General features: G+C 38.0%; 1 long non-coding RNA gene across 2 annotated transcripts in view; it reads left to right on the top strand.

The window, feature by feature from the left end:
- Positions 1–21,665, top strand: part of LOC105376637 (uncharacterized) — a 292,809-nt gene that overhangs the window by 162,878 nt on the left and 108,266 nt on the right. The window contains exon 3 of one of the 2 annotated variants that reach the window (XR_001748194.1): positions 20,796–20,847. This is a non-coding gene — a long non-coding RNA (uncharacterized LOC105376637). Of the gene's footprint in view, positions 1–20,795; positions 21,100–21,665 lie in introns of those variants that run through there. The other variant, XR_001748195.2, reaches the window with a different exon arrangement.

The raw sequence follows: 21,665 nt of genomic DNA, 5'->3' as shown, positions 1-21,665 counted from the left end.
TTTGGTTCTGTTTCTATGCTGGATTATGTTTATTGATTTTCATATGTTGAACCAGCCTTGCATCCCAGGGATGAAGTCCACTTGATCATGGTGGATAAGCTTTTTGGTGTGCTGTTGGATTCGGTTTGCCAGTATTTTATTGAGGATTTTTGCATCAATGTTCATCAGGGATATTGGTCTAAAATTCTCTTTTTTCATTGTGTCTCTGCCAGGCTTTGGTATCAGGATGATGCTGGCCTCATAAAATGAGTTAGGGAGGATTCCCTCTTTTTCTATTGATTGGAATAGTTTCAGAAGGAATGGTACCAGCTCCTCCTTGTACCTCTGGTAGAATTCAGCTGTGAATCCATCTGGTCCTGGACTTTTTTTGGTGGATAGGCTCTCAATTATTGCCTCAATTTCAGAGCCTATTATTGGTCTATGCAGGGATTCAGCTTCTTTCTGGTTTAGTCTTGGGAGTGTGTATGTGTCCAGTAATTTATCCATTTATTCTAGATTTTCTAGTTTATTTGCATAGAGGTGTTTATAGTATTATCTGATGGTAGTTTGTATTTCTGTGGGATTGGTGGTGATATCCCCTTTATCATTTTTTTATTGCGTCTATTTGATTCTTCTCTCTTTTCTTCTTTATTAATCTTGGTAGCAGTCTACCAATTTTGTTGATCTTTTCAAAAAACCAGCCCCTGGATTCATTGATTATTTGAAGTGTTTTTTGTGTCTCTATCTCCTTCAGTTCTGCTCTGATCTTAGTTATTTCTTGCCTTCTTCTAGCTTTTGAATGTGTTTGCTCTTGCTACTCTAGTTCTTTTAATTGTGATGTTAGGGTGTCAATTTTAGATCTTTCGTGCTTTCTCTTGTGGGCATTTAGTGCTATAAATTTCCCTCTACACACTGCTTTAAATGTGTCCCAGAGATTCTGGTATGTTGTGTCTTTGTTCTCATTGGTTTCAAAGAACATCTTTATTTCTGCCTTCATTTTGTTATGTACCCAGTGGTCACTCAGGAGGAGGTTGTTCAGTTTCCATGTAGTTGAGCGGTTTTGAATGAGTTTTGTAATCCTGAATCTGAATTAATCAGACTGGTCTAAGAGACAGTTTGTTATACTTTCTGTTCTTTTACATTTGCTGAGATACCTAGGAATCCAACTTACAAGGGTTGTGAAGGACCTCTTCAAGGATTTCAAGGAGAACTACAAACCACTGCTCAAGGAAATAAAAGAGGACACAAACAAATGGAAGAACATTCCATGCTCATGGGTAGGAAGAATCAATATCATGAAAATGGCCATACTGCCCAAGGTAATTTACAGATTCAATGCCATCCCCATCAAGCTACCAATGACTTTCTTCACAGAATTGGAAAAAACTACTTTAAAGTTCATATGGAACCAAAAAAGAGCCCGCATTGCCAAGTCAATCCTAAGCCAAAAGAACAAAGCTGGAGGCATCACACCCCCTGACTTCAAACTATATTACAAGGCTACAGTAACCAAAACAGCATGGTACTGGTACCAAAACAGAGATATAGACCAATGGAACAGAACAGAGCCCTCAGAAATAATACCACACATCTACAACCATCTGATCTTTGACAAACCTGACAAAAACAAGAAATGGGGAAAAGATTCCCTATTTAATAAATGGTGCTGGGAAAACTGGCTAGCCATATGTAGAAAGCTGAAACTGCGTCTCTTCCTTACACCTTATACAAAAAGTAATTCAAGATGGATTAAAGACTTCAATGTTAAACCTAAAACCATAAAAACCCTAGAAGAAAACCTAGGCAATACCATTCAGGACATAGGCATGGGCAAGGACTTCATGTCTAAAACACCAAAAGCAATGGCAACAAAAGCCAAAATTGACAAGTGGGATCTAATTAAACTAAAGAGCTTCTGCACAGCAAAAGAAACTACCATCAGAGTGAACAGGCATCCTACAGAATGAGAGGAAATGTTTGCAATCTACTCATCTGACAAAGGGCTAATATCCAGACTCTACGATGAACTCCAGCAAATTTACAAGAAAAAAACAACCCCATCAACAAGTGGGTGAAGGACATGAACAGACACTTCTCAAAAGAAGACATTTATGCAGGCAACAGAAGAAAATGCTCATCATCACTGGTCATCAGAGAAATGCAAATCAAAACCACAGTGAGATACCATCTCACACCAGTTAGAATGGCGATCATTAAAGTCAGGAAACAACAGGTGCTGGAGAGGATGTGGAGAAATAGGAACACTTTTACACTGTTAGTGGGACTGTAAACTACTTCAACCAATGTGAAAGTCAGTGTGGCGATTCCTCAGGGATCTAGAACTAGAAATACCATTTGACCCAGCCACTCCATTACTGGGTATATACTCAAAGGATTATAAATCATGCTGCTATAAAGACACATGCACGCATATGTTTATTGTGGCACTATTCACAATAGCAAAGACTTGGAACCAAGCCAAATGTCCAACAATGATAGACTGGAATAAGAAAATGTGGCACATATACACCATGGAATACTATGCAGCCATAAAAAAGAATGAGTTCATGTCCTTTGTGGGGACATGGATGAAGCTGGAAACCATCATTCTCAGCAAACTATCACAAGGACAAAAAACCAAACGCCGCATGTTCTTACTCATAGGTGAGAATTGGACAATGAGAACACTTGGACACAGGAAGGGGAACATCACACACTGGGCCTGTAATGGGGTGGGGGAAGGGGGGAGGGATAGCATTAGGAGATATACCTAATGTAAATGAAGAGTTAGTGGGTGCAGCACACCAACATGGCACATGTATACATATGTAACAAACCTTCACGTTGTGCACATGTACCCTAGAACTTCAAGTATAATAATAAAAAAAAGAATATACATATTTTATTTCCTCTTCTAGTTCACTAAAAAGTGGCCTGCTATATGCATTCTTCCATATGTTTCCTTTCTTATTTAACAATATACACTGAAAAACACTAATGTCAGTTTGTAGTGATCTTTATTTAGATTAAGTTTCACTGGACCCCTTTTTCAGAATGCACTATATCTTTTTCATCTCAGTCTCTTACAAATGGCATGCTTGTGTTTTCCAATAGTTTGCTTTTCCAAATAATTCCACAAGAAATAGGCTTGTGTATATGTTGTTTCATATTTTTGGAAGTGTAGCTTCATAATAATTTCTTAGAAGTGCAACATATTGTTCTTATAAGTTCTCATAATTGCAATTCTTATAAGGTAAATACGTTTGTAGTTTTGCTAGAAATCCATCACCTTCTCTCAATAGTGGTTGCACTATTTTGCAGTCTAAAAAACAAAGATAGATTTTCAAAGATTTACATGTTTTTCAGAAATTTACCTAAAAGTTTATTATTCTTCTAAAGTTTTTGTCAAGCTGTTACCAAAGGTAAAATAGCATCCAACTGAAGGTTTAATACAGTTCTCCTTCTATGAGTAAATTTGATTATTTTTTGACATATTTAAGGGGCATTTGCCTACTTTTTGCTGCAAAATCACATCCTTGGTAGATATTTTGGTCCTTTTCCCCTTTATTTTTTTATTTTTATTTTTTATTAATTTTAGTATTACAGAAAAGTTATACAAATAATACAAAGTATTGCTGTATACCTTTCATCCACCTTTCCCCTAACATTAATGTATCATATAACCATAGTACAACTGTTGAAACCAGTAAAAATGCTTTATCAAACTATATATCATATTCAAATTTCATCAGTTTTTCTATTAATATCTTATTTTTAACAGGATTTTATATGGATCACTTTGGTTTTCAAAGCAGTTTAAATATCAGGGATATTGATTGTTTTCCTGGAGTATAAATTTCCAATACATTCTCCCAATTTGTCATTTGTCTGTGACTTCTCTCTTGGGAACAAAATTCTTCCTTTAACTCCACTTTTCTTCTTTATGCCTGGCTATGTGTCAGCTAGTTATGATGCTTTAACTCTCTATCATTGAACTCTCAGATTTTTTCTTCATAGCATTTATCAGCAGTTTGACTTTTACATTTACTCACATTTTTGTTTGTTTGTTTTTTGCTCTCTTTCTCTCCCTTAAATTCTATAAGCCATGGTTGGAGGAGCTGTGTTTATTTACCCTTATATAGCCAACTCCTGGAAGAGTACCTGCCACGTTCTAAGTTTATCTATTCAGTTCATTGAATATATAGTCAAGAAACCATGTCAATGAAGGAACCTTTGAAGAAGTAACCGTATTGATTCAGAACAGAGAAAAGGAAACTGGAACATGCTAGGCATTTCCAAATATTAAAAAAGTGATCATGTAGAAAAATATAGATTTCCTGTATCTCACTCCAGAAACTAGCACGGACAGCAAAATTTAGCTATTACTTTTAAAATTAGAAAATGTTTTTCTAATTCCTTTTCTTCTTCTTTTTTTTCTAATTCCTTTTCTAAAATTAGAAAAAAAAGCTATCTGACATTTGAAGTATCTTCTTAACCATGCAGTAGGTGCAAAGAGAGAATAGATTTTAGTCTGACAGAAAGGTTGAAGAAGAGGTTCAGGCATACAATTGGTTTGACTAAGTACATCCTACTAAGTATATTTCCAGTGCTAGGATTGTATGAAGTCATAAAAAGGAACTTTATGATTGAATGTCGATAGAACCATTGTTTTAGAACAAAGAAGTAATTCAATATAAGCCCAAATGAGTGAACTAATAATAGTGAAAGTTTAGCAACTTAACAGTTAAGTGGGACAAATTTTGGGTAGAAAATATTTCTGGTTACCAAAAACTAACACTATATTTGTAATGTTTGTTTCTTGTTACAGATGATGCTGAGTTGCATGAATCATGCACTAATTAATGCACTTATTAAAAAGTTAAAGTATTTGCATGTATTATCAGTCTTTTGTTTTTTGCAGACACTCAATAAACATATTACTCTTGAATAGGGATTTTTAAGTTTATATATGAATTAATGAAATAAAGGTAAAGATTAAGTCCCAATGCCTAAAATGCACATTTCTACATTGAATATATCTCTAGGAACATGGGCAGGACCTGGAGTAAGTGAACTCACATGCACTCTTAAAGAATTAGAAATTTATTTTACTGTTTAATCTCAAGTTTCATGGCAGAAACTTTTGGGAAATAACATGGCTCACTAATTATGCTGATTTTGCCACAGCATCCCAAGATATATTCCAAGATGTTTCATTCATGGACCAACCCATCCTGAATTCATATTTAACCATTAATCATGAGAAATCTAAGTGACTATATCTAATTAAGTGCTTATTTGAAGGATGTAAGTACATTAAAGCTAATATTAAAGTAAAGCACATATGGTGGGATGAACTGAAGTCTGGGGAATGGCGTGGAGGTGAATTATTAAATGGTCAAATATTGAAACATAAAGGCTCTTTTGCATAAGGCTGGTTACCAGACTGGAAGGCCCAGACACACTTCAGGCTTTTTTAGAGCAGACATTCTGCATATCACCATATGCTCAAAGAAATTTTGCAATTTTATTATCTGTTCTACATTTCTTTAGTTCATTGTATCTACAGCAGAGCGTGAGTTTTCTAATGCACCTGCACAGTTTGATGTTTACAAAAACGGCAATTACGATGATGTACCATTGAAATAAAGCTTTGCTGGATAGAAATTAAAAAGTGAAAACAATGATCTGGTAAAAACTATTATTTGTCAGGCATTCCATTCATCAAAATTGCAATTAATTTCTTCCTTTCCATCATCATTGTGGTTGAAACAAAGGCCAATAATCTCACATCTGGTTACAGATTTAGAAAGAGAACACTTTCTTCTTTCACAGTGCTCTGTAAGTATGGTGTTTACATTGTTAGATGAGATAGTTAAAATTCCCTGGTGCTCGATGTTTTATATTTATTGTGATTAGACTCTAGAGAATTTGCAACCTAAGTATGGAAGTAGTGTTTGATTAAGAATAAATGCTTTAAAACAGCCTCTCTTGCTTTGAAATGTCTGTGTTGTCGTTATAACTTGAGAAAATAATGCCAGTGCGTTGTTAGCATTCACTTTACATTTAATATGAAATCATGACTACCTTTTTGTACATGAACTGCACAGTTTACTAGGGTTAGCACTAATCTCATCATCTTACTGGCCACCCAACATTTTGTTCAGCGTGCATCAACTTCCTGTGTAAGTTCTTTCATGTTCCCTTCCCTTTCTTGCCTTTCTACCCTTTGCTTTCTCCTCCCTTCTCTCCCTCTAGACACTGCCACTAGTGTCAGTTTACAAAGAACATGGCTTTAAATATGGTCCTTCTCTCCTAGCTTAGTGTTAGGTTTTATGTCATGGTGTCTCCTTCACTCTCTGTTTCCTCTTGATAATTTTTTCAAATAGGCAATTGTGTTTATTTGCTAAGACTGCCATAAAAAAGTACCACAGACTGTGGACTTATCAACAGAACTTCATTTCCTTACAGTTCTGGAGGTTAGAAATCTGAGATCAAGGTGTCAGCAGGATTGGTTTCCTCTGAGACTTTTTGCCCTGGTTTATGGATGGCCTTCTTCTCTTTGTGTCTTCACATGGTCTTTCCTCTATGCAAGTCTGTGCCTTAATTCTTTCCTCTTGTAGGGACACTAGTCATGTTGGGTTAGGACCTGTCCTAATCTAATGACCTTACTTTAACTTAATTACCTCTTTAAAGATTACATTTCCAAATGCAGTGTTATTCTGAAATACTGGGGTTAGGACTTCAACACATGAATTGGGGGTGAAGAGGGGGTGACACAAATCTGTTAGCAACACTATTCAGATACCTCAGTATCATTCCGCTTAATCCTCACCTTTCACTATAGCCTCTTTCTTTGAACTTACCATTCAGCATATTCTCGGTATGCTGCTTTCATTATTCCTCAAATACTGCTCAGCCAAGTCTTATGTCAGGTGTAGACCTCAGACCCAAAATACGTGGTCTTGATTATTATGGATTTCAAGAACTTATTAAGTACATTTTGTCTACCAAGTTAGGTTCTAGGTAATGGGCATGCAACAGTAAACAGTGTTTACAGTGTTCCCAGACAGACAGTGCACCTACTGATATGAATTTACAGTCATTTTAGCAGGAGACAGAAACTAAAGGAATACATAAAAATATTTGTCAAATTGTAAAAAATAATTATGAAGGAAATAAATGGTATTTTATAAATATAACTTTGGTTAGGGAGAGGGGATGTGAAAACTTTAAATAGTTTCTCAGAAAGGCATTTCTGAAGATTGACCTTTGAGCTAAAATATGAAAGATGAAAAGGAGCTAGCAAAATGTTGGAAAAAGAAATTCACCGGAGGAGAGGGTAGCAGGAGCAAAGGTCCGAATGCACCAAAATGTTGGTGTGTTCCAAGAACAGAAAGCAGGTCAGTGTGGCCAGAACACACGCAAAGGAGTGATGAATGAGATGATGTTGGAGAGAGGTAACAGCCCTGGATTTTGCAGAACGTTGTAAGCTTTGATGAGGAGTGTGGCTTCTGATCAAAGGCCTCTCTACCACTTTGGTTTCTACACACAACTTTTAGCATCCTCCTAGGTTGATACTTTTCTTAGAATGACTTTCTTTCAGTCTGTCTTAGAAATGCATCATTGGAAATAATTCCACAACAAAAACAGAATGTGGTAACCCTTTTTTATTTCTGTATTGCTGATGAAACTAATGCTTTCAAGGTTAATACCATCATTATATTAAACTTTTTCAGTTTACTATTTAGCTTTATCTGTCCATGTCACCTGCAACATCCCATACACTTCTCTGTATAGTGCTAGTTTTACATACCCCTGTCAAAAGCCTCTTCGTAAATGAATCAAGTAATGTCAACATTTACTAATTGCCCACAATATGTTAGACACATTTATAGGAAATTAGAATGCAAAGTTGGATATAAGATGATTTCTCCATCAAGGAGTTTATAGTAGCAAGGAAACAGCCAGACATTAAAACAAAAACAAAAACAAAAAACTTAAGGTGATAAGTGTGATAAAATATTCTATTACCACAGAGGATTACTCTAAACAGGCAAGGGGTTCAGAATAGCAGTCAAGGAATGGAGGTAGAGATGCCCAAGATTTTTAAAAATTATTATTAAAATACTGTTAATTAGCCAATTAAGAGAAAAAAAAGTTTTGAGGGATAAAGCAGAATGGGCCACATAATGTGTCTGAGTTATTTTCTTTAGATAAATGTATGATTTAAAATACCAGATTTAGGGCATCACATTGCATTGGGTGTCATTGGCTGTCAGATTGTTCACCTCAATCAGTCTCATGAAACTATTGCAGAGATCTGAACAATCTATTGCATCCTGTTGTGTACCAAAAGGCAGTTTTGTTATTTATAATACAGACCTACATCTCCAAGAAAGATTAAAAATAGTTGTATAGGCCGGCCGCAGTGGTTCACACCTGTAATCCTAGCACTTTGGGAGGCCAAGGTGGGCAGATGACTTTAGGTCAGGAGTTTGAGACCAGCCTGGCCAACATAGTGAAACCCCGTCTCCACTAAAAATACAAAAAAATTAGCCAGGCGTGGTGGTGGGTACCTGAAATCTCAGCTACTCAGGTGGCTAAGGCAGGAGAATTGCTTTAACCCTGGGAGGCAGAGGTTGCAGTGAGCCGAGATCATACCACTGCACTCCAGCCTGGGCGACAGAATGAGACTATGTCAAAAAAAAAAAAATGTGGTATAACAAGGCTGTGACATATTTTTCTCAAGTCCTGTGGTAAGCAATTTGTGTCTAATCTGGTGGCAATACAGGGTGGAGAACTAGACTCCTCTATCTTGTGGCTGGGTCATCACTAGAGTGCTGTCCAATCCACATTGTTCAACATAGCTTGCCACCTTACCAGTATTCTGCCAGCTGGAAAGGGAAAAGGCGATAGAGAGAGCATGTCTCTTCTGTCAGGTTAGTAAACAGAAGTTGCAAACCTCACTTCCACTCATTCTGCTGGCCAAATTTTAGTCCTATAACTAACTACAAATGCTAGGGAAACTGTGAAATATAGTCTCTATTCAGGCTGGCCAAGTGTTAAATGAAGTGGTTGAAGATGAGTATTGGAAATAAGCTGACTCCACCACTGTAGCAGAGTGTAAGTGTATTTTAGAAAGCTAGGTCTGAATTTCTGATCTTTTGACAATGGGCAAGATATTATTCATTTTAGGTCTGTGATATTGTATTAGTCTGTTCTTAGGCTGCTAATAACGACATATCTGAGACTGGGTAATTGACAAAGAAAAAGATGTTTAATGGATTCACAGTTCCACATGGCTGGGGAGGCATTACAATCACGGCAGAAGGTGAAAGGCACGTCTTATGTGGCAGCAGGCAAGAGAGAGAATGAGAGTCAAGTGAAGGGTATTTCCCCTTATAAAACCATCAGATCTCATGAGACTTATTCACTACCATGAGAATAGTATGGGGGAAACCACCCCCATGATTCAATTATCTCTCACTGGGTCTCTCCCACAACATGTGGGAATTATTGGAGCTACAGTTCACAATGAGATTTGGGTAGGGGCACAGAGCCAAACCATATCAGATATTATCTCCAAATTAGATATTATAATATCACCTTTTATGATTGCTCTTAGCTAAGACATGAAAAGCATAACAGATTTTGTCACATGAAAAGCCCTCAGGAAATATTACTCTGATTATTTTTAATTAAACTATTAATATTAATTCCACAGACCATACATCCGTCTTTTCTGGACTTGAATTCCCCTTCCTTATTGCATTGTCTGCCAATAGTTTACAAATATACACATATTAGAAAAATCACTTTATCCTTTTATGATTTTGTTTCTTCCTCTGTAAAAATAAAGGATTCATATTAGAATGTTAATAAATCCCCTTTTAACTTAAAAAATCAATTGCTCTATCATACACTTATTTTAGAAGAGTGGCAAATATTTAATGGCTATTACAATTTCTTGTTACCTGACAAACCCATTTTGGGATGAATACTTCTATTAGGAAGTATAGTAAGCCTCCTTACTATTTGCTAAACACACAAGTTTCACTACAGCAAAATAATCCTACTATTTCTACTTTTTTGTGTGTTTGTCACAGGGCACATACAATTGGTTATATGCACAATGAACTCTCTGAGCTTCCAGAACGTGTAAAATTAATATTTTACATTTTGCAGTAGTGGAAAGAGCACTTTGGAGTCTAAAGAGCTTAGCTTAAGTCCCTCAGATATATTACTTGCATCTGTATGCTATTAAGAAAGTTATTTTGACTTTCTTTGTATTCATTTATATAATTGGAATATGGATGTAAAAATTTTGCCTGCCTGATTTTGAAATTTAAGGGAAATAATCTGTGAATGGCTGTAAATCATAAAGAACTGAAGAAAACAAGGGATAGTTATTATCTGAAATTTCCATGAGTAGTCAGCCCATGACAACTTTGCTTGAGATTTCTAGTAAGATTAGAGACACTGAATTGTCATGCCATCTCCCTTGCCTTTTTTCTTGCAGGGTAATAAGGATACTGCTGTATTAGTAATTGTTTTCTTCATATGTTCTTTTAAACCCCTAAATATTGGTACCTATTTTTTCTACATATATGAGTTTTTCTCACAATTACTGAAACATATTTTCTGTAATCATTGAGGTTGTTTCCATAAGCAATGACTGAAACATTGAAGTCCCAGTGACATCAGTGAGTCTGGAATTCTATGGCTGTTATTGGTGCTGATGCTAATCCGTGCTCTCCTTCTTGATGTGGAAAATGTTGTGCTTGTAGATGATGATGCTGGCTTAGACTTCACATAGCTTAAATCTAACTTAGGAGATGTAGCCTTAGTTGCAGAGTTAAATTCATGTAGTTAGCTCATAATTTAAGTCAGTTTGTTTCTGCTTTTCTGCTTCGTTGGCTGTAAACTTTGATTAAGAATCACTGCTGCCTGGCTGGGTGCAGTGGCTCACGCCTGTTATCCCAGCACTTTGGGAGGCTAAGGCGGGTGGATCACGAGGTCAGGAGTCCAAGACCAACCTGGCCAAGATGGTGAAATCCCGTCTCTACTAAAAATACAAAAATTAGCCGGGCATGGTGGTGGGCGCCTGTGATCCCAGCTACTAGGGAGGCTGAGGCAGAGAATTGCTTGAACCCGGGAGGTGGAGGTTGCACAGTGAGCTGAGATCGCGCCACAGCACTCCAGCCTAAGCAACAAAGAGAGAATTGGTCTCACCCCGCCCCCGCAAAAAAAATTAAAAAAAAGAATCACTGCTGCCTGTCTACAAAACTCTGAATCAATCCTGTGTTGCTTTAAGAAAGTAAGAGTGGTCTTTAGAAATAAATTACTGCTGGTAGATAATGCAATAATTAGTGCTCATGGAACTTTAGAGTTCACTGATTCCCTAAACAGAAAATTTGTATAAAGAAGCACAGATACAATATTTTTACTTTTTTTATTTATGCTTTTGCTGGTTCTATTTAATATCTCTTTTTTGCTTGTATTATTTTGGATTTTAAAATTGAGCCATCACTCTCTAAAATTCAAATCTGAAAAATACATTTTTACACGAGGAAAACTCACTTGAAATTTTATGTTATTAGCTAGGTTGAGAGACTTTGCCAAGCACCTTATTTCTGAAGGTAGTGTTTCCCCACAAAAGAAATTCTTTAGGTATCAGTTGGAGCATTTTAATCTCTCTTTTTCCCCATTTGAAGTAAGCTGATGACATAGGTACAAGTGTAAGTTGACCCTTCTCCAAGGCTAATTATCTCTTTCTTAATACTTGGAAACTATGATCTTAATGGCTTTCTTGCTGCACTTAAATGATTCTTCATATCCTACCTGCTTCTGTCCAATTCTTTATAAAGAGAAAAAGTATTTTAGGACATTCATAGATATGCATGCAGTGATTCTCCATTAGTAGAGACTGGTAGTGTGAATTACTGTAGTTTAAGAATATTATGCCTATCAGCCAAAGAGCACCACTCAAGCTAATGGAGTCTTTATTTCCTGTAATCACTATTCTACCCTTTGCATATAAGCAAAGGGCAAAGTACCAAAGAACTACTTTAGAAAAAAAAAGAATAGTTAAGAAGACATGAAAAGAAAAATAATTTCCTCAGAGATTTCTGGGTATGCGAGACTTTTGATATTGTGATATCCCCTCAATATTTCCTCTTGCAGTATTCATTGTTCAGTTTTACATTGGGATGCTTATACACTGAAGAAATTTAATGTTAGCATTAGAAGCTTTTTTTCATATAACCCCAAAAGTACACAAATAAAAAGCCTCAATAAAATGGAATAAAAATGTTTTTGTTTGTTTGTTTGTTTCCTCTGTTTCAGAAATCAGAAGGCTTCACAAAAACATGTAAAAGTGGGCCGGGTGTGGTGGCTCATGCCTGTAATCCCAGCACTTTGGGAGGCCGAGGCGGGCGGATCACGAAGTCAGGAGATCAAGACTATCCTGGCTAACACGGTGAAACCCCATCTCTACTAAAAATATAAAAAATTAGCCGGGTGTGGTGGCAGGTGCCTGTAATCCCAGCTACTCGGGAGGCTGAGGCAGGAGAATGGCATGAACCCGGGAGGTGGAGCTGGGAGTGAGCCGAGACCGCGCCACTGCACTCCAGCCTGGGTGACGGAGCGAGACTCCATCTCAAAAAAAAAAAAAAAAAAAAAAAAAATATATATATATATATATATATATATATATATATATACACACACACACACACACACACACACACACATATATATATGTGAATTTAGGAAAAGGAAACAACAATATACTAAACATATTTTTGCATGAGAGAAGTCTATTTTAAGTGTCATAAAACTGCCAGTTAAGCAATTTCATAAGTCATTCAAAAACTTAGAGAAATGCAACCAATTTTATATATGTGTATATGTATAAGATTTAGTTTCATAATCTTATGTTGCAATTATAGTTTATTAATAACCATCAAATATAGTATCAATTGATGTTTATTTAATCCATTTTACAACTGAGAAAATTTAGCTTTAGAAAAGTTCAATCTTTTTAAAGATATATGCCAATAGGTATGGGCTGGGAGATCTGAATCTAACAACTTTCCTTTGCAAAACTTAGTAATTTAAATACAGTTTGAAATTTTTCTAAATATTTATCCTTATTCATTAATAATCTTCTACATTAATTTGGAATTTTTGTTTCATTTTCCATGTAAAATCTTTGTTCTGTAAATACTTTTTGATTAAAAAATATGTTCAGAAAATAGTTTTAGAATATTCTTTTGCCGAAGCAAGTTTTTTAAAAGTTGCGGCTTGGGCAAGGAGTCTTTACAAATCAAAGCTACTGATGGCAGTGGCAGCCCATCTAAAGTGGCTGCTGCTGTGGCACCAGCTGCAGTGGGGTAAAGGGGTAGGCCGCGGGTCCTCAGGTGCCCAGGTGGGCAGTCCCTGGAACCTACCCCCGGGAGCCACCACTATGGGGCCAGGCTGAGCCACCTGCCAGCAGGCGGGCAGCACAGTTGGGCATGAAGGAGAGGGTACAGAGGGGCTCTGAGGCAGAGTAGGGCCCAGTGCTTTCATACAGAGTGCTAGGGCTGGGCAGAGATGTGGAGCTGAGGCTTTGCTTGAGGTGCCTGCAGGGAGAAGTGGGAGTGGCACCTCCTTGGAGGACCTGGCCAGCGACGCAGCCACTGCACCCACCTGGCTGATGGTACCAAGTTCCTGAGCCTTGAAAAGAGGCTCTGTGTGGGGCCATCTGAGGTCATATCCTCAGGATCTACCCCGCATCATGGTGACCACTAAGTTTGACATTCCCAAGAGCTGGACCTGGAGCCCACGATCGTCTCCAGGACAGGTGCGTGAGCCCGTGGGAGCCAGAGACAAGCAAGAGCCCCGCCCCTTCCAAGCTAGCCAGGCAGGAGCTCCCAGGGTGCAGCTGCGGCCAGCCAGCTGCTGCTGTGGACCCAGGCATCCCTGCACTCTCGGGGCCCAGGAAGGCCCCCCTTTCCCCTGCAGGTTTGAAAGTGCCTGCTTCTAATGCCTGGCTTCTCCCCACTGTTGGTGCCTGCTCCGATCTTGAAGCAAAGTTAGGGCTGAGCCTGGGTGATGTTGCAGCCTGACTGTGTGTGCACATACTAAGGGCAGCACTGACACACCAGCCCCCTGCCACCTCAGCCCTCCTCTGGACTTTGGGCACAAACAAGCACAGGAGGGAGGCCAAGGGGGTGCTGAGGACAGCCCAGTGCTGGCCTGCAGTCACCCTTTGGCATGAACAGCCTGGGCACCATGAACAGCCACAGGAGGCAGATAAGCTCCTGGGCTGAAGAGAGTGGGTCCCTGGTGAAGTCCTACCTTCGAGCTGGGGAAGGCCTGAAGCCTGGGTGCTGGGCCACTAGCCCAGCTGACCAGAGGGGGAACTTGTGGTGCTTTCCTTGGGCCTGCCCTTGGCAGCCCATAGACCAATCAGCACACACTTCCTCCTCTCTGAGGCCCATAAAAACCCTGGAGTCAGACAGATTGAGGAGAGGGTGGAGAGACAACAGGATCACCAGCTGCAGAGAGGAGCTACCCTCTTTGCTGAGAGCTGAACACTCATCTAGCCAACCTGCCTAACAGAAAGGAACTACACTCTCTGCTAAGAACTGAGCTACACTCTCTGCTAAGAGCTGAACATTCTCACAGCCTGGCCCCGTAGCGGTGGCTCCCAGGGGTAGGTTCCAGGGACTGCCCACCTGGGCGTCTGCACCTAAGGACCTGCGGCCCGCCCCTGTACCCCACTGCAGCTGGCGCCACAGCAGCAGCCACTTTAGATGGGCTGCCACTGCCATCAGTAGCTTTGATTGGTTGGAACACTGTGGGTCTCCTCTGAGCTATTCTATCACTCAATAAAACTCCTCTTTGTCTTGCTCACCCTCCACTCATCTGTGTACCGCATTCTCCCTGGATGTAGGACAAGAACTCAGGACCTGCAGAATGGCGAGGCTAAATGTGCTGTAACACAAACAGGGCTGAAACATGCCACTTGCTCACCATGTTGTGGATAAAGAGGAGAGAAGAGTTTCCACCCTTCTGGGAGCCCAGACCTGGGAGCTCCATGAGCCAGGGCTGTGACTCCGTCTTTGGGGCTGTGTAGTTCCTGGAGTCCTCAAGCTTCCAGGCATCATCACACTTCCTGATGCCAGCTGTGGAAGCTTCCTGCTTCCTGGCTATGCCTGGTCCAGCTGTGGCCTCACAGGAGCTGGTGCCCATGCTGGCATCTGAAGCTGCCTGCTCGATGGCAGCAGCTGGCATGCCTGGCTATGCTCAGTGACTGGACCCCACACTCGCTTACACACCCCTCACCGCTCCCCAGCTGGCTCGCCCTTGGCAGGTGTGAGATCCAGGCTGGTAGTGCAAGCCAACCAAAGCCTGCCAGGCAGAGTTGTCAGAATGAGCCCAGCAGGCCACAGCAAAACTTGGGCAAAGGCATCACTGGTCACAGAGGTTTCCAGCTGGTGAAGTGACACTCCAAGGATCCCATAACACTACTGGTGAAATTTTCCACGGGGATGAGGAAGAGAGGGTTGTTTGATTTTCTTTTGAATCAAGGGAATAGTTATTGGCTATTGTCTAGTCTTCATAGGATGAAAAATTACTCCATATGCTTATTTTTTTTTTTATCATTTTTACCTTGTTTTTCCCATAGCACTAGGAAATAGAGATGATCTAAGATGGCTTATACAAAGTAAATTAATCAGCAAAGGAAACTACCCTAAAGGTCAGGCAGTTAGAAGCCAGAGGGTATTATCTTGTCAAACTTGTACAATGAACAGTGAGGGAAAGAAACTTAGAAAGTTTGAATTACTGGCTGGGCGTGGTGGCTCACGCCTGTAATCCCAGCACTTCGGGAGGCCGAGGCGGGTGGATCACAAGGTCAGGAGATCAAGACCATCCCGTCTCTACTAAAAAAAAAATCCAAAAAAAATTAGCAGGGCGTGGTGGCAGGCGCGTGTAGTCCCCGCTACTTGGGAGGCTGAAGCAGGAGAATGGCATGAACCCGGGAGGGGGAGCTTGCAGTGAGCTGAGATTGTGCCATTGTACTCCAGCCTGGGCGACAGAGCGAGACTCCATCTCAAAAAAAAAAAATAAATAAATAGAAAGTTTGAATTACTTCCTTAATTCCCCAATGACTCAACCCCAACACTTTGCAGGCTACTTACATATACAGTTGTAAGAAGGAGATTGCTCTTTTCACATATGTATACATGTATATGTATGCATATAAGTATGCCTTCATTTGTAACTCAATATCCTAAAGGATGAGGATTGCTAGAAATTATATGACACTAAATTATTCAAAGCCACTTATCCGTTTCAGAAGATATATAATGGAAGTCTGTATTCAAGATGTGTAAAAATATTTCACTGAAATTTTTCTTTATGGACAAATTGGTAGATACCAGAACTCTGTTAAAAATATTACAAATTGGCCGGGCGCGGTGGCTCACGCCTGTAATCCCAGCACTTTGGGAGGCCGAGGCGGGCGGATCACGAGGTCAGGAGATCGAGACCATCCCGGCTAAAACGGTGAAACCCCGTCTCTACTAAAAATACAAAAAATTAGCCGGGCGTAGTGGCGGGCGCCTGTAGTCCCAGCTACTTGGGAGGCTGAGGCAGGAGAATGGCGTGAACCCGGGAGGCGGAGCTTGCAGTGAGCCGAGATCCCGCCACTGCACTCCAGCCTGGGTGACAGAGCGAGACTCCGTCTCAAAAAAAAAAAAAAAAAAAAAAAACAAACAAAAAAAAAAAATATATTACAAATTGTACAAATCGTACTTTAAAATCTTTCCTGTAATTTTTTTCAGCCATGTTATATGTTCAAGCAATTTAATTGCTCCTTTTTATAAAGATTTATGCTTTTTGTGTTTTCAAAAAGGGAAAGTTCAGGAAAAGCCATAGTTGAATGTAGCATCCAATAAACATGTTCCTTATAAATGAGATAATGAATCTTTGAGAACTGAGGGAACTACTCTCACTTATTTATAACTCTACTTAAATTCCAAGATTCCTAAAGAGAAAAATCAAAGATTGATCAGACTAGCCTTAGAAAACATTACCACGTATTCTGTAGAAGAAATAGTGTTGTGATTTTAATGAGTACCACACAGGCTAAGGGTAGATTTGCCTTATTCTTCTTCCTAAAATCTTAAGGGTGAGTTGAATTATAATGAATCACCTGCTGTATATCATAACTGGTGGCTGCTGATGTGTAATTTATACAACCATACTTTTGGTTTAAGCTGCATTATTACCTTATTTGTCCTTGTCTAAATTTATATTTCAAGTATTTGATTGAAATTGAAGATGATATATATTGTACCATTAAGTTCCATGCTTAGCTGACAAGTCATTTCACATAGCACTACAAGGCAAAGAAAATGTACTTTAGTAGAGATATCATTGGCTTTTTATGGAGACAAAACAGGTAAAAATTTAAGCTCTAATATTTTGTACATGTAAACTTGTGAGCAACTTATTTAACCTCTCTCTATAATCTCAGTTTTCTCGTCTATACATGGGAAAATAATATTCTCTTCACTCATTAGTACTAAATCAAATACCGTATCAAACATTTTTGATGCATACACTTTTAACCCAGAATAAGTAATATAAAGATTGACTTTTATTTTCCTTCTATTTTATTCCCTTCAGCTCCTCCTTTTGACTTATTTATGTGATACGATTGTCATTTGTTCTTGGGAATACACTGTTCTTTTGGTTGTTTCTTGTAGACATATATATCCAAAAGTCCAATCTCTCTTTGGTCTCTGCCATTGTCAAATAACTAAGAGAGTTTGTTCTTTCCTGTGATTGTGAACTGAGCAGATAGAAACTGACCATTTGGTAGATCCCAGTAATGTAACCCAAGGCACCTGAGGATCAGGGTTGGGCTCATAAATATGACTGAATTTATGTTTCGCTTGGAAAAATAAAGTGGGAGGAGATGGGCAGCATTCAAATCAGTTCTTAGTTCCAATTTTAGGAAGAGTTAGCTAAGTAAAATGTGCCTGACTCATTAAAACATGGCCATTCAACAATGACCACATGATTCAAATAGAAATATGAATAACAAGATATCTTCTAACTCCTAGGTGTTACAGTAACAGCATGTACCGCATGTCTGATTTTCTTATTTAATAATGGATATTATTCTCAGTTTATAGGAAAGCAAACTGGGACTCAAAGAAGTTTACCTGTGTTTCATTTAAAATCAAATGAATGGTAGAACTGAAATTTAAATGAGTAGCTGTCTACAATGCCTGTTTTCTTAATCTATCTGGGCTGTGATGGCATATTGTCATAGACTACAAGGCTTATAAACAACAGAAATTTATTTTTCATAGTTGTGGAGCCTGCAGAGTCCGTGATCATTATGCTGTTAGATTCAGTGTCTGCTCAGGGCCCACGTTCTGGTTCATGGATAGCACCTTCTAGCTGTGTCCTCACGTGGTGGAAGGGTCAAGGCAGCTCTTTGGGGCCTCTTTTATAAGTGCACTAATCTAATTCATGAGGACTCTGCCCTCATGACCTCGTCACTTTCCAAAGACTCTACCTTCTAGTGCCATCATACTAGTGATTAGGTTTCATTGATGATTTTGAAAGGAGCAAACATTCAGACTGACATACTTCTATTAATCATCACAGGTTAGTGGTGACCGCAGGTCTTTGAATGAAAGAATCTCTATCACTTTTCAGTGGCTTTAGAAGTAAAGAACATGGCAGATTTGAAAATTCCTTCAAAATTCCCAATTCCTAGAAGCTCTGTTGTTTTCTGAACTGTCAAAATTATTTTCTGTCTTTTTTGCTTTAGTTCAAATACTATTTTTCACTGAATGATGTATGAATGTGTAGCAACTTAATCAAATTGCCTAGAATTGGAGAAGAAAAAATATCCCCATCATATTTTGTTCTTCTGTGAATAACATTTGACAAGTAAAAATGCTGTATAAACAATAGTTAATGGAGAGTGTTTGGCTTTCACACTTCATTCTCATTCTGGTGATATAAATCCTCACAGGAAGAAATATCGTGTTTTATTAATTATGATCCTGAAGAAAACAAAATAAATAAAAAATAGTATTGGGGCTGGGGGTAAGGTTGATATGGAATTACACTGAAATCTTAAATAATCTGTTAATGATGGATGGATTTGTCTTTTCTACTGTCGAAGTTGTTGAAGCTGCAAGGCTTTTAGAGGTAAGAGGTGAAGAGGATATAAACGCATTAGAATTTAGAATATGACTTACTAGATGGATTTATGTGCAACACAGGTGAAGTCATATTTTCAGAAATAAAACTACATAGATATGTGATCGATATAAATGCTATTATATCTTCTTTTCTTTTCTTTGATCCCTACAAAGCTCTGTTGTCACTCGAGTGTGATGTGCAGTGTTCTATAATTTAATTTCCAACCAGTATCCAGATTAATTAAAATGTAAGTTAGATACTGTTACTTTATCATTATCTCTTTACAATCTCCTTAAATAGGGTTTCTAAACTGCAATACTATTGACTTTTTAGGCCAGATAATTATTTGTTGTGAAGAACGATCCTATATCTTGTAAAATATTTAGCAGCATTCCTGGCTTCCATTCACTAGATGCCAGTAGCACCTTTCCCTCCTAGTTGTATCAACTAAAAATGTGTCCACACTGCCAAATTTACCCTGGGAGGCAAAATTGTTACCTGGCTGAGAACCATTGCAGCAAAGACACTGTATTGAATTCAAAATAAACTTCACACTCTTTATCTGAGCCTACAAAACCCTACCATAATCTACCCATATTCAACTTTTCACACATTATATTAGATAATATTCTTCTATTCTTACTCTTTTTCATACATACTTACCTTCTTTCTATGCTTCCAAATTGCCAAGTTTATTCCCAACTTAAGAGCCTTTAAATAGGCTCTTCTTTTAACTCGCACGGCTCTTTCTCAAGATTTTCATGCAACTAGCTGTTCGTGCCTGGTATCAGTTGCCACTTCCTCAGGACCTTCCTTATTTCCTCTACTTAAAATAGCCACTTTCTTTTTCTATTGCATCACCTTGTTTTATACTTTTCACCAAGCTTATTACTGTGTTTTGCAATTTTTGTACTTTTAAAAAAATCCTCTTCCACTGAAATTTAAGGTATATAGTGCTTTGATTTGTTCAACACATTTTTATTAAACATAATATTATTCTAAACATGAAGACTATAGTATTAAAATATCAGACACATGCATTTCAATAAATTCATGAGCTGTAAAATCAATTACAATTTAATCAGAAAAAAGCTCAACTTAATTAGGACTAATATAAGAGGTAGGATAAAGATTTATCAACCTGTGTCAAAGGTGATCCTTATTAAAATTATTTAATTACTATTATCAATAAGATAATTAGCTTAAATGTTAACCATTAGAATAATATGACAATGAATGGAATATGACTTGAGAATAAAAGAGAAAGAACAATATGAAAATGAGTAAATAAAATACTCTCTGCATTCTCCAGGTAGCTCTAGGTAGCTCCTAACCTCTCCAGAGATAGCTGCTTTCCGCTCACTCTTTCCATTGCAGTACTGTAGCTCCACTGTAATAATTAACATGTTACCTCCACTTAGTTACATGTTTCTTGGGGAAAGACCTTTCATCTAGATATCTCCAGTATTTTTCGCAGTCTTGGTACAAATTGGCCACCAACACATATTTATTTCTCTGTTGACTCTCTGGTGAATGTATAGTGTATGGGTATTGATTGCTTTGTTTACAAATCTTACTTTACTTATTTACAGGTTATTTGATAATTATCAAGCACTGTTCCAAGAATGAGGATTTCAGTATTAGGTATGTTTTGCCTTTTCTTTCTTTTATCTTCTTTTTCATTTTCATGAAAAAATGCTAAAATAATTTTTTAAAAGATAAGAATACTAAACTGACTGGGGTTCACTGTTTAAGCTTTACTTTTCTTTAATTTCAAAGCCTGCTACTCAGTCAATGAAATTAATGATGAGGAAATTGAGAATCAATGAAAGGAAATATGTTCTTTGCTTTATGTGTAGTCAGGTAATAGAATACTCTGACACAGATGAGGTCAAGTCAAATAATGTGGTTGGATATGAAAATAGAGGAGATAGCTTTATCTTCATTCATAGCACTTATAGTTATTACTCTATTGATCAAACACAGGGAAAATTTATCTTTTGCTTCTAGGCATATTGATATGTTGATTGTCTGCAAAGATAAATGTGCCATATTTTGATCTTCTGGGAATTTATGTTTCAGTGTGAAAACATGGGAGGGCTCATGTGTAGGATTTATTCTGGTGCTTCCAGAAAAGGTTTAAATCAGACACTTAAACTGAACTTGTATGGCAAATAAAATTATTCAAATCTCATTCTCTGAGACTTTAAAAAATAAGCAATGAAACAATTATTAAAGTAAAAACGAATAGAAAGATAAAACTTATAGTAAATATCCCTTACATAAAGTAACACTGGATTGATAGAAAAAGAGAGAAAAGTGCTTACTGCGTATTAATTCTGCATTAGACACAGTTTAAAGGGTCTTATCTAGTTATCCTAATGATTCCAGGAAATGATAAAGAAAAATATTCATTGAAAGAAAATTATGTGTTAGCAAATATTACATGTTCTATGTATTGG

The sequence above is a fragment of the Homo sapiens genome, chromosome 11 (assembly GCF_000001405.40).
Source record: "Homo sapiens chromosome 11, GRCh38.p14 Primary Assembly".
In the NCBI taxonomy this organism is placed as follows: domain Eukaryota; kingdom Metazoa; phylum Chordata; class Mammalia; order Primates; family Hominidae; genus Homo; species Homo sapiens.
Note: the sequence above shows the minus strand (reverse complement) of the source record. Positions and strands in the feature narration are given on the sequence as shown.